The sequence below is a fragment of the Homo sapiens genome, chromosome 22 (assembly GCF_000001405.40).
Source record: "Homo sapiens chromosome 22, GRCh38.p14 Primary Assembly".
NCBI lineage: Eukaryota > Metazoa > Chordata > Mammalia > Primates > Hominidae > Homo > Homo sapiens.
This window is the reverse complement of record NC_000022.11, coordinates 22,098,725-22,112,376: the sequence shown is the minus strand read 5'-3', so window position 1 is coordinate 22,112,376 and position 13,652 is coordinate 22,098,725. Positions and strand designations below refer to the sequence as shown.

The 13,652-nt window shown below is 43.7% G+C and overlaps 1 pseudogene, 1 gene segment (V, D, J or C) and 1 further gene, besides 2 other annotated features; all 3 read right to left on the bottom strand.

The window, feature by feature from the left end:
* IGL (immunoglobulin lambda locus) overlaps positions 1–13,652 on the bottom strand; it is an 896,838-nt gene that overhangs the window by 810,537 nt on the left and 72,649 nt on the right.
* Positions 645–714: a silencer, noted in NCBI's record as "silent region_13522". NCBI's record gives its function as "represses an Ori minimal core promoter by ATAC-STARR-seq in GM12878 lymphoblastoid cells {active_cell/tissue: GM12878}" and the evidence as "EXISTENCE:reporter gene assay evidence [ECO:0000049][PMID:35858748]".
* Positions 1,035–1,114: an enhancer, noted in NCBI's record as "active region_18720". NCBI's record gives its function as "activates an Ori minimal core promoter by ATAC-STARR-seq in GM12878 lymphoblastoid cells {active_cell/tissue: GM12878}" and the evidence as "EXISTENCE:reporter gene assay evidence [ECO:0000049][PMID:35858748]".
* On the bottom strand, positions 7,582–8,868 carry LOC100736408 (NAD kinase 2, mitochondrial pseudogene; annotated as a pseudogene).
* On the bottom strand, positions 13,165–13,616 carry IGLV8-61 (immunoglobulin lambda variable 8-61). The segment is given in 2 exon segments: positions 13,165–13,471; positions 13,571–13,616. Coding segments are annotated over 2 exon segments (353 nt in total).

The window sequence follows — 13,652 nt, the reverse complement described above, 5'->3', positions numbered from 1 at the left end:
ATATATCAAATTAACATTTTAAGAAAAAAACACATTTTACATCTATATATCCTAGGAAAATTAGACACTGGCTGAAAAAGTAACAACAGGAATCAATCCCTGAGCCAGAGTTGGTCCCAGGCAGGACAGTGGTGATTGCACCAGGCAGAGAGAACACAGGGGAGGTCCTAGTCTCACTTCCCTGGGGTTCTGGAGCACTGTGGAAGTGCCATGGCTGCTGAGATATGTAGTAGCCTCATCCTCTGGCTGCAGCCCAGAGATGTGCAGAATTACTGCATTGGCTGAGGCATCTTTAGATTTAGAAAAGTGACCGGGGACCCTGGAGCCATGGTGCTTACTTGAGTCAGATTAGCAGACTGTTCTACACGTGCTGTCCTAGTCCATTTTCTCCATTTTCTTCTGATACAATAGAATACCATATATTGGGTAACTTACTGAGACTAAAAGTTTATTTGGTTGAGATTTCTGTGACCTTAGAAGTCCACAAGCAGATGCTGAAATCTGGCAAGGGTCTTTCTGCTGCATTATCTCAGGGAAAAAGGGCAAAGAAGAGTGTGAAAATGAGTAAATAGGGTTGAACTTTATCCTTTTATCAGGAGCCCACTCTTGAGATATCTATCCCACTGGAGATATATCATCTCTCAGGAGATACTAGAGAGCACTCCCTAGATGCTACTGGTAGCAGGATATGTGCTAGCCACCAGCAGTGAAGCCACAGCTCAGGGTAAATGTGAGCCTCAGAATTTCCCAGAGATGCAGAGAGGGAGGGTGGCTGAGTCAGAACAGGCCGAGGTGGGGGGAACCTGCAAACACAAATGCTCATGGGTGAGTAAGCAGGGATGAAATGTGAGAGTGGAACACGGGGCAAGAACTCAGACTGGGAGGCTTTCCCAGGAATCTGAGGCCTGTCCCTACCTGATAAGTGAGAGGGGAGCAGCAGGGAGGAGCAGGGGCCCCGGCCATGGTGGACACAGCCCTCCCGAGGTCCAGAGCTGGAGTGGCTGCCCTAGGCCTCTCTTATCCCCTCCACTGGCCTCACAGAGGAAGGGTTATGGATGCAAATGTGTCCCACCCACTGCCTGCCCCCACCCCACTCTATGCATTTATTCAAGACCTGGGGACTGGTGGATGAGAGAGTCTGGCAGGACCTGGGAGGAAGTGGGTGCTGGAACCACACCCAGAGAAGATGCAGCAGCTGAGTCGGCTTCAGTGAGTGCAGGCTCCACTGCCCAGCCCTGGGGAGTTTAGGGGTTGGCACAGCTATGAATAGCCACTGTGCAGACCGTGAGACAGACCCACAGTGCCCCTGCTGCTCACTGGCCAGACTGCAGTCTCAGTGGGAATCATGTGAGTGCAGTCATCTAAGGGCCTGGTCCAAACCATCCATGAGCCATGCCCCTGCTCTGTCCTGAGCTACTGGTATTAATAAACAGCCTTTTCATTGAGGGCTCCTGGATTACTAGAAGAAGGACATATGGGAAATATAACAATGGCCTAATGTGACGAGGCTACAGTGAGGGGAGAATGCAGACAGCTTCTGGAGCAAAGACCCGGGCAGCTCCTTCCACAGGGATCCACCTCTACTCACAGAATAGGAAGGAAAAACTTAACATCAGTTAGAAATACATAAACGAAGGCCTCAATTGTTTGTTCCTGTGATGATTCATTGGATGCGTTCATCCATGAATGCATACTCAAGCAACTACCCTTCAGGCTTGGGTTCCTGGTGTCACTGGATTGATTTTGTTAATCATGGTTTTCACGTATTTGTATGTATACTCTTTTTTCTCCATGTCATTCACTCAGTTAATAAGAGAGTTGTATTAATATCTGTGTATATGATTATGGATTGATTATTTCTCTTTTTAATTCTGCTAAAAGAGACAGTTTTGCTTCAAATACTTTAAAGCTATTTTATTAGGTGCATACAATTTACAGTTGTTATGTGTTGTCATTGAACACCTTATTTCACCAGTATAAAATGCCTCCCTTTTCTTGGAAAAAAATGTTTTTCATAAAAGCTTTCATACTAATACTAACTTTAGAGTAGGCAGATAGCTAGACAGAAGCAGGAGGGGCAGCCCCTGAGAAAAGGGAGTTCTGGAAAATCTCACACCCCAGAGACCACCCAAAGCACACATGCTAGATACGAACAGAGATTAGGGTAAATACCTATGCCAGAACAAAGCCCCTTAAGACACCCAGTATTCACTCACTCTGAAGTTAACCTGTCAGAATGTAGCTAGCTGCATGCTGATAATAGGGGTGAGAGCAAAGGAGAAATTTCTAAGAGAGATGCAGGTACAGTAAGTATAGATTTGACCACCATACAACCTTCCTGGGGTGGCAGTAATGAGCAATGCAGCCATTAGGTAGAATTCCTATCAAACACTGGGCCCATGTGTGTGTTAAGGGAGGGTCCCACAGCCTGGGCTGGAAACTATGTGGGGAAAAGGCAGGGACTTAAGGCTGAAGCAGAAAAACTAGAGAAAGAAAAAAAGGTGGAGACTTAAAACAGAGGTGGGAACTCCAAGAAAAAGTGCAATATCATAAAAACTCAGTGCACATTTCTCGGGCCGCTGGCTCATTCTCTATCAGCAGCCCGCTCTGCCTTATCTTCCAGAGTACACTGTCTCTCTAAATAAACTATTTGCTCTCTGTTTTTCTTCAGTAAATTCTCTTTTTTGCCTAAATTGTCTCTTGGCCAAAACTTTCTCCCAAGACAAAGGACAGAGGATTGCCATACTTGCTTTCTGTAAGTGGTTTCATGGTATTTTCTATCCCTTTTTCATGTTAATAAGAACGTTTAATGTGTGATATACCCTCTGAATAAAATTTTAAGTACATAATACAGTGTTGTCAGCTGTAAGCACAGTGTTGTACAGCACATCTCTAGAACTTGTTCATTTTGCAAACCTAAAGCTTCATAGCCCTTGAGCAGTGACTCCCCATTTCCTTCTCTCCCTACCCCTGGCAACCAGCATTCTACTCCATTTCTGCTCGGTTGAGTATATTAGACACCTCCTATAGGCCGGACGTGGTGGCTCATGCCTGTAATCCCAGCACTTTGGGAGGTCGAGGCAGGCGGATCACCTGAGGTCAGGAGTTCGAGACCAGCTTGGCCAACATGGTGAAACTGTGTCTCTACTAAAAATACAAAAATTAGCCAGGTGTGGTGGCAGGCACTTGTAATACCAGCTACTCAGGAGGCTGAGGCAGGAGAATCGCTTGAACCCGGGAGGTGGAGGTTGCAATGAGCTGAGATCGCGCCATTGCACTCCAACCTGGGTGACAAGAGCAAAACTCTGTCTCGAAAAAAAAAAATTAGATACCTCATATAAATGAGGCCGTGCAGCATTTCCCCTTCTAAGATTGGCTTATTTCACTCAGTGTAATATCCTCCAGGGTTTTCCCTGTTGCTGCATATGGCAAAATTTAATTATTCTTTTTTTTTTGAGAGACAGAGTCTCACTCTGTCACCCAGGCTGGAGTGCAGTGGCGCAATCTCAGCTCACTGCAACCTCTGCCTCCCGGATTCAAGAGATTCTCCTGCCTCAGCCTCCTGAGTATCTAGAATTACAGGCTTCTGCCACCACACCCAGTTAATTTTGGTATTTTTAGTAGGGGCGGGGTTTCACCATATTGGTCAGGCTGGTCTTGAACTCCTGACCTTGTGATCCGCCCGCCTTGGCCTCCCAAAGTGCCGGGATTACAGGCGGGAGCCACCGTGCCCGGCCTAATTCTTCTTGAATTTGAACAGCATCCATTGCAGCTATACACCACATTTTCTGTAAACATTCAATGATTAGTGGACCTTATGCTGTCTCCATGTCTTTGAAATTGTGATTAATGCTGCATGAATAAAAATGTGCAAATATTTCTGCAATATCCTGATTTTCATTCTTTTGGATGTATGCTCAGAAGTGCTTTTTATTTAAAGAGTGTATCTTTTAATTTAGTTTGTCAATCCAAGTGAGGCCTGGTGGAGCTCTATCACTTCAGTAACAAGAAATTGAGAAATGTCCCCTGTCCCTGCTTTTCACAGGTTTCGTCTCAGCTCTTCAGCCTCCTGCCTCTTATGGGTTGGAAATCCACATCTGTCATAATGAGGACTAGTGTGGGCTTGAAATCATCAACCTCTACTTTCTTTTTCATCCCTGTGTTATTATAAATTATGGTTTTGGTCTTTGACCCCATTTCTTGTTATACAACTCCTAAAATACTTAAAATCACCAGAGTCTTTTTGTATGCTAATGAGATGACTGTTGGCTGACAGTCCCTAGGTAACTTCAGGATGGGGGCAGGTCACAAGAAAGACCAAGGCAGGGTTAGAGGGATGGGACTTTCAGCCTCATCTCCCAACCTCTGTGGAGGGGAGAGGGGCTGCCGATTATTCACCAATGGGCAGTGGTTTACTCCATAAAGCCTCGGTGAGGAAGCGTCCATAAAATAACCCAAATGGAGCTAGGCTGGGAGAACTTCTGGAAGGCTGAACACATGAAGATTACTGGACGGTGGTGCACCACTTCCCATACCTTGTGCTATGCATGTCTTCATCTATATGCTTGGTTGTATCCTTTTTAATAAACCTGTAAGTGTCTACTGAGCTCTGTGAGCCATTCTAGCAAATTAATAGAAGCCAAGGAGATGTTGTGAAATCTTCAACTTACAGCTATTTGGACAGAAGCACAGGTAAAGCAATCTGAGGCTTGGGATTGGCGTAAGTAGTGGGGCACAGTCTTGGGGAAATAGCCCTCAAACTGTAAGATCTGACCCTGTCTCCATGTGGATAGTGTCAGAATTGCATTCAATGAGAGGGCACCTGTGTGGTGTCCGCTGCAAAACCAATGGCTTGCTTTCTAGGGGGTGGGGAGAAATCCTACACATTTGGTCATGGAAACGTGTTGATTGTTGTGGTGTGAGAGCAGGGCAAAGATGGTTTTTGTATTTTCCACTCAACCCCAAAGGCACTGAATTATACTCAAAGCTCTTTCATTAGCCTTTGGCATGACCTAGCCTTTGGCATGACCAAGTGTATTTTCATTGTGTAGCCTGTGCTTCCTCTTGTCTTTTCCTTTGTGGGGTCCCAATCATCCGTTCTAAGGAATGTTCCTGCTCCATTTGTGGACAGTCACAGAACCCACAGACTTCACAAACTGCCTTAGGTGGAAACAAGGAGCATTAATATGTGTGAATTCCCTCTTTGACTCCACAAACCTTAGCACCTTTTCCTGGCCCATAAGCTGACTAGTCCCCTGACCCATAACTTGTCCTGAGCATGAACATAAACTCACATCAAGGCCATATGCCCAGACACATGGGATGACCAAAAGTATTTTCCACCTGAGCTGCCTTGCCTGCCTGTGTGGCAATGACCAGGCTAAGATGTTAATCTTAATAGCTCAGTATAAATATTGGCTGGATAGAAGGTCACAAATTCAGTGAAGAGTCTCAGATCCTTGTTCCAGGATGGGGAAATGCCTGCAGAAATTTTTCCTGATTGTGGTTTTGGTGACAAGAGGGAAGAGTAGGTCTAGAGGTCATAGCGTGGGATCAAACAAGAGACTTGTGCCTTATTTCCCTGTGGGGCAGATGCTGTGGGTTAGCACTGGGTTCCTTCCGCATCCTGATCAGCAATCATCACCCTCATCCTCAGACAGAAACCCAGAGTAGTAAACGAGGCCAACTCCATCCAGGTTGCTGCAAATTCCATTATTTTATTCCTTTTTAGGTCTGAGTAGTATTTCATGGTGTATATTATATATATATATATAAAATCACATTTTTGGCTGGGTGCAGTGGCTGATGCCCATAATCCCAGCACTTTGGGAGGCCAAGGTAGGCAGATCATCTGAGGTCAGGAGTTCGAGACCAGCCTGACCAACATGGAGAAACCCTGTCTCTACTAAAAATACAAAATTAGCTGGACGTGGTGGTACATGCCTGTAATCCCAGCTACTCGGGAGGCTGAGGCAAGAGAATCACTTGAACCCAGGAGGCAGAGGTTGCGGTAAACCTAGATCATACCATTGCACTCCAGCCTGGGCAACAAAAGCGAAATTCCGTCTAAAAATAAAAAAATAACGTTTTCTTTATTCACTCATTGGTTGATGTATATTTATACTGTTTGCATATTTTTGCAATTGCAAATTGTACTGCTATAAACATGTGTGCAAGTGTCTTTTTCTTTTCTTCTTTTTTTTTTTTTTTTTTTTTTTGAGACAGAATTTCGCTCTTGTTGCCCAGGCTGGAGTGCAATGGTGCAATCTTGGCTCACTGCAACCTCCACCTCCTGGGTTCAAGCGATTCTCCTGCCTCAGCCTCCAGAGTAGCGGGGATTACAGGCATGCACCACCATGTCCAGCTAATTTTGTATTTTTAGTAGAGATGGAGTTTCAACATGTTGGCCAGGCTGGTCTTGAACTCCTAACCTCAGATGATCCGCCCGCTTATCCTCCCAAAGTGCTGGGATTACAGGCATGAGCCACCGTGCCCGGCCATACAAGTGTCTTTTTCAAATAATAACTTATTTTCCAGGAATTTATCCATCTCTTCTAGATTTTCTAGTCTGTGTGCATAAGGGTGTTCATAGTAGCCTTGAATATCTTTCATATTTCTGTGGTATTGGTTGTAATATTTCCCATTTCATTTCTAATTGAGCTTATTTGGATCGTCTCCCTTTTTTTCTTGGTTAATCTCACTAACGGTCTGTCAATTTTGTTTATCTCTTCAAATAACCAGTTTTTGTTTCATTTATCTTTTGTATTTTTTGTTTCAATTTTATTTAGTTCTGCTCTGATCTTTGTTATTTCTTTTCTTCTGGGTTTGAGTTTGGTTGGTTCTTGTTTCTTGAGTTCCTTGAGGTGTCACCTTAGATTGTCTGTTCATGCTGTTTCAGACTATTTAATGCTATGAACTGTCCTCTTAGTTTTGCTGTATCTCAGAGGTTTTAATAGGTTGTGTCACTATTATTGTTCAGTTCAAGCAATTTTTAAATTTCCTTCTTGATTTCATTGTTAACCCAAAGGTCATTCAGGAGCAGATTATTTAATTTTCATGTATTTGTATAGTTTTAAGGGTTCTTTTTGGAGTTAATTTCCAGTTTTATTCCATTGTGGTCTGAAAAGGTACTTGACATAATTTCAATTTTCTTAAATTTGTTGAGACTTGTTTTGTGGCCTATCTTATGATTTATCTTGGAGAACGTTCTATGTGCTGATTAAAATATGGTATATTCTGAAGTTGTTGGGTAGAATGTTAGGTAAATATCTGCTAAATCTATTTGTTCTAGGATATAATTAAAGTCAATTTTTTCTTTATTGACTTTCTGCCTTGATGTCCTGTCTAGTGCTGTCCATGGAGTATTGAAGTCCCCTACTATTATTGTGGTGCCATCTATCCCATTTCTTAGGTCTAGTAATAATTGTTTTATAAATTTGGGAGCTCCAGTATTAGGTGCATATATATTTAGGATTGTGATATTGTTCTGTTGGACCGATCCTTTTATCATTATAAAATTTCCTTCTTTGTCTTTTATAACTGTTGTTGCTTTAAAGCTTGTCTGATATAAAAATAGGAACATCAAAAGACATTCCTCCATCTACAACCATGCAGGTGTTCCAGCAATGAAAACGAGGACAAATCTCTCAGGAGAAACAATGCTCATGGGTGCTCGAGAAAACTGCTTGCTTTTTAGTTCTTGAATACTGAAAATTACTTTTGGCCCTTTTTGGACTCTAGAACAATGATTCATTATATTTATTTGTTATTCTGTCATTTTACAGTTGAATGCAAGACTCCAACGTCCTTGTCATTTGCAATATTTTAATCATGCTCCACAGCCTGACTTGCAACCCTGTTGCCTTTGATCTTGCTCCAGTTCACAAATTGAGCCCTGAAGTCTTCCATTTTTCCCATGGACCATTACCAACTGAAATCTCACAGTAAGAAACCAGTCTTTTAGAGTGGGTCTACTTAGCCAGGCGCAGAGGCTCACACCTGTAATCCCAGCACTTTGGGAGACCAAGGCGGATGGATCACCAGGTCAGGAGATCGAGACCATCCTGGCTAACACGGTGAAACCCTGTCTCTACTAAAAATACAAAAAATTAGCCAGGTGTGGTGATGGGTGCCTATAGTCCCACCTACTTGGGAGGCTGAGGCAGGAGAATGGCGTGAACCTGGGAGGCGGAGCTTGCAGTGAACCTAGATCACGCCACTGCACTCCAGCCTGGGCAACAGAGCAAGACTCCGTCTCAAAATAAATAAATAAATAGAGTGGGTCTACTTAAATTATCCACTGCCACAGCCCAAGCATAAGGTATTCTGGATAGACGTTCACCAGTAAAGACTTCATTTAGTGCTGTCATTCACAAATGTCGGAGTCCTAAAGCCTCAGATCTTTCACCACGAACTTGTCCAATGTCAAGGGCTCTACTCTGTTGATTCGAATTTAGTTGCTGTCCATGATGTCCCACAGGATTGGAGTTTATGCCAGTTCCTTCCAGATATGATCTGATTACTGCCTCCATACTGAACTCACTACTATAGACCTTTGGTAAGGCTCCTGGAAAGAAATGTGTGTATTGAACAGGCCAACATAAGTGACCCTCAGGTAGTCCTGGATCAGATTTTACCCCGTAACTGGTTTAAGTTTGTACAAGACTTTACTCACTGGCAGAAGCATTGCACCATCACCTTCTGCAGCTATGATAGCACCCGCCCAATAGAGAGCTTCCTCCTCATATTCACTGCTCTCTACCAGATTAACCTCAACTTCCATATCTCGTAATCTGTAATACATTCTGCATCTTTGCAAATATGATGTGGTTCAATAATTCCACTATAGCTACATTCCTTCAATGCAAGCAGTTGCTTCCAGTCCTCCTCCAGGAGCTCCGCTTAATGGTGCCACTGCTTTTGAAACTCCTACCGGGTGGTTTTAGCCACCACCAGCTGGGAGGGGTGGAAACCATCATTAGGGTGGCTGCCACAGCCCACCAACTCACATGGCTGCATCTGCCCCCAATGCCAATGGCCACCACAGTTACCACTGGGCCTTGCAGTGGGGCATCCCTTGCCTGGGTTTTGCAGTGCTGCTGCCAGACCACCTGCACGTGAGGATGGCTGCCAAGCAAGAAGTCTTGGAAATGTCATCTTTCACCCAGCCAAGGCCACAGGCGCAGACTCCTGCCTGTGCTCCCAGATTCCACCACTAGGAGTGTGGGCAGCTGATGCTGCATTGGCCTGTAACATCACCCGAGAAGACAGAGGTTAAGTTCAGGGACATGACTGGCCCATGACATGAAGGGGATGTTCTAATGAATTTGTAGTACAGTCTCTTATCTTCTAGGTGGAGTATGTGACATTTTTACTTTTAAAAATCAATCTTCATTTTGAAATATCTTTATTATTTTGGTTACTTCTACTATTGATTCAACAGTATTCCAAGTTAATTTTTTATCTGGAATTTAATAATTTAATCTGAGTGGAGAGGGGAGTCCTGCAGCAGGACAAATAAAACACACCATATTCCTAGAAGAGATATAGAATTTGAAAATAAAAATCACACATATGAAATGCATGTGGAGGGTATGGCAAAAATACATCTTTTGACAGTATTGGGCACATGGAATGATAATAACAAGGCAGGCAAGGATAGTTAAAGCCAGAGAGTGAATGTCCTTGTGTGTCATAGGGAAGTGATTGATTTTTTTAATTCAATTGAAGTGAATTAATTACTTAAGGAGGATTGGGAACTATCGGGCATCACCACTGGGGACATTTGCTGAGAGGTGGTGTGGCCAGGCCACATTATTCACCTGACTCTGCTGCTAATTCCAGTGCAGGAGGAGTTGCCTGTTACTTCCAGGTGACAGGCCTGGCTGAGTGAGCATAGATGGCATGTAGGACTCTGAAAAGGACGCATGGAGCACCCTACTACTGACACAGAGCCTGACACAGGGCGGGCATAGCCACCTGTGCATGCTGACAAGTGACTGGCATTTTTCATTTACCATAAACCCCTGCTTCTGAAATCTGAGGAGTTTGTGCTATCTGCTCTGCTGACACCTTCCAGTGCACCTTCTCAGAGGAAAACCCATATAAGTTAACAATAATTTTTAAAAATAAAGCACTAACATTACTAATCTACATGCTGTTGAATTTTTGTTTTATTTTGGGGTTTTTTTGGTTTTTTGTTTGTTTGTTTGTTTGAGACAGGGTCTCACTTTGTCACCCAGGCTGGAGTCCAGTAGCACAATCTCGGTTCACAGCAGCCTCGACCTCCCAGGCTCAAGCAATCCTCCGACCTCAGCCTCCCTAGTAGCTAGGACTATAGGCACATGAAGCCATGCCTGGCTAATTTTTTTTTGAGATGGGGTCTCGCTCTGTCACCAGGCTGGAGTGCAGTGGTGCGATCTGGCTCACTGCAACCTCCGCCTCCCCGGTTCAAGTGATTCTCCTGCCTCAGCCTCCCAAGTAGCTGGGACTACAGGAGTGCATGCGTCACCATGTACAGCTAATTTTTGTATTTTTAGTAGAGACAGGGTTTCACCATGTTGGCCAGGATGGTCTTGATCTCTTGACCTCATGATCTGCCGTCTCAGCCTCCCAAAATGCTGGGATTACAGGCATGAGCCACTGCACCCGTCCCTGCCCAGGCTGGTCTTAAACTCCTTGGATCAAGAGATCCTCCTGCCTTGGCCTCCCAAAGTAGTTGGGATTACAGGTGTGAGCCACTGCACCTGGCCTGAATTTTTTTAATTTGGTGTCCGCAGATAAGAAAATATTTCACCATTTGTTCAAATTTTCTTTGATATCATTTACAAAATTGCTAATTATTTTCTAATAGATACATTAAATGTTTATTTTTTATACTGAGACAGAAAAATATAAGAATTTTTAACTTTATAATAAATTTTATTAGTTGTGAATTTGGCATTTTTTAATTCATTCTAATATATTTTCAGTACAATTTATTTTATTCTTGGTAGATATTCATAGCTTTCAAAACTTTCAAAATAAATGAATTCTGTCTTTATAATACTAGTGTCTATTTTTATTGCCTCCGTTATTGAATTGGCAGAGATTCCAGGCTAAAACCTTGAACAACAGCTGTATCTGTAGCCATCATGTAGGATCCCAGATTAAAATGCAAACAATCCTAGTAATTTTTCTTTAGAAGTAATGGTTCCCTCTAGTTTAAAGATACACAATCAGTAATGCATTATGGAAGTATATTTTATTTCTATATTTATTTTCATAAAGGCAGGAAATATGATTAAATTTAATGGAAAGCCTCATAAGCATTTATTAGAAAAATCGTGTTCATTTCAGTTTAAATCCTTTGCAATGAGAAAAGGATTAACAAAATGGCCTTAAGAAATCCACATTTTCCACCCTCACAACTGATCCCACCTTTATCCCTCTGGGTCATCATGAGATCCTCATGTTTGAGTCCCAACGTATGCCAAGTAACCTTCACCCTCTTCTTCCAGAATGTTCCAGGGCACTGACAGATCTAAGGCCAGTGTCTTCATTGTGTGACAAGTAGATAGGGTAGTTGTCGTCTTTGTCTTCATAAACTCTCATGGATTTCTCTGGATCTGGATAATGAACCGCACATTTGCAATCTTTACTCAGCCAGGAGATCAGGAGAAAACAGTCCTAAGGACTCAGGTGCGCAGACACAAGTAGGGCTGGTTTGTTTCTTTTCACAGGATTTTCTGTGCATGGACAGTCTTAAAATCTGCCCTCACTTGTGTTAGATCCCCTGAAGCACCTCCTTTGTCTTGAGAGGTTCTCTGAGGTGACCCCTGAGCCCAGATTGAGTGGAAAAAGCTCCTGGACCCCGGGTGGCCAGAAGAAAGAGTCAGAGGAAGGGAGGAGGGTGGGAGCCTGAGTCTGGCCTAGCAAAGCTCAGCAGTGAGGTTACTGCCATCTTCTGGTGGCTCCAAGGCTCCGTCACCCCTTAGTCCTTCCCATCTTGCCAACATTATGTTAAAAGACACTGTTCAGGACAGGTACGTATCTATGCTGAGAGGATCTCAGTGGAACCATGATCCTGTGGAACAATCGGTGATAAGAGGCTGAGCCCTGTGTCCTATAAAGACCCTGAGAGCCAGAGCCACAGGTAGGTGAGCTCAGTGGGAGGGAGAAGGGATTCTGGAAGCCAGTCCTCTACGGGATGGTTTTCAGTAACAGATGTTCATATGGACCACTAAATATACCCTAAGGAAACAAGTTTTTGGAAATTCCTGAAGGGACTTATATCTTTTTTTTTTCTTTCGTGGTGATAGACTCTCGCTATGTGGAAGACACTGGTCTCAATCTCCTGGCTTGAAGCAGTCCTCTTGTCTCAACCTCCCAAAGTATTGTGATTATAAGCATGAGTCAGCACACCTGGCACCTAGGAACTTACGGTTTTAGAAATTCCTCCCTACTCTGTCTGCATAAATCAAGTTATAATTTTTGCTATGGCTTGAGATTTAAAATCTGTTTCTGAGTATTTGGGGGCTTTGAATGGGAATTTAGGAGAGTAGGATTATGGAATATTAACCTGACATCATTATAAATGGAGATCCTTATGAATAATTTTATGATAATAAAAGTAGGTTCTTCCCAAACATTAACGCTAATAAAAATCTCATGTACAGCTTGTTAAATACAGGCTATCTGTCACCAACACAAGTTTCTGACTTAGTAGGTTTAGGTTAGAGAATTACATTTTTAACAAGCCCCTTGAAAATGCTCCCACTTCAGTGATAAATAAAATATTCAGTCAGCCTCCATGGTCAAATTAATGAGTGAGCATATGCCTGTTAATTCTCTTTGAATAAGAAGCGTCTTCCTGGAGCACTGGGGTGTCTGTGACTCACTGTGAGCTTATATATTTTGTAGATAATTCTCCCTCCACATTATTCTCAGTGGAGACGAAGCACAGCCATGGAAAAGCCACACTGGGAAGGTGGACACACCCGGGGAGAGACTGGGTGAGGCACCTGGCAGTGAACCCCTGCGTCAGAGACTGGGGCGAGGAGACTCCTCACTCACCGTGTTGACCATTTCCACCCTCTCACTTTCCCTCCTGTCTGTAAGGGCTGAACTGTTCTCAGTATATAAAGAGGTTTTAGTTGCACTTCCTCATAGGTTTAAATCACTGTGGAAATGCCACTACCCATATACAGCACACAGTAATAATCAGATTCATCATCTGCCTGGGCCCCCGTGATGGTGAGGGCAGCTTTGTTCCCAAGGATGGAGCCAGAGAAGCGATCAGGGACCCCAGAAGAGCGAGTGTTTGTGCTGTAGATGAGCGTGCGTGGAGCCTGGCCTGGGGTCTGCTGGTACCAGCTGGGGTAGTAACTAGTAGAGACTGAGCCAGAGCTCAAGCCACAAGTGAGTGTGACTGTCCCTCCAGGGGACACTGAGAACGATGGCTCCTGGGTCACCACAGTCTGAGAATCCACTCCTAAAACGAACAGGAGAGACACAGTTATGATCATGAGGATGAGAGTAACCTGGACCCTGTTTTCTGTGGTCCCCCAGGGATAGAGTCCCTTCCCCTGACCTGATCCATAAGCAAGGAGTCCGAGGAGAAGCATCATCCAGGCCATGGTGGGGACACTCATGAAGGCTAAGTGTTCTCAGGC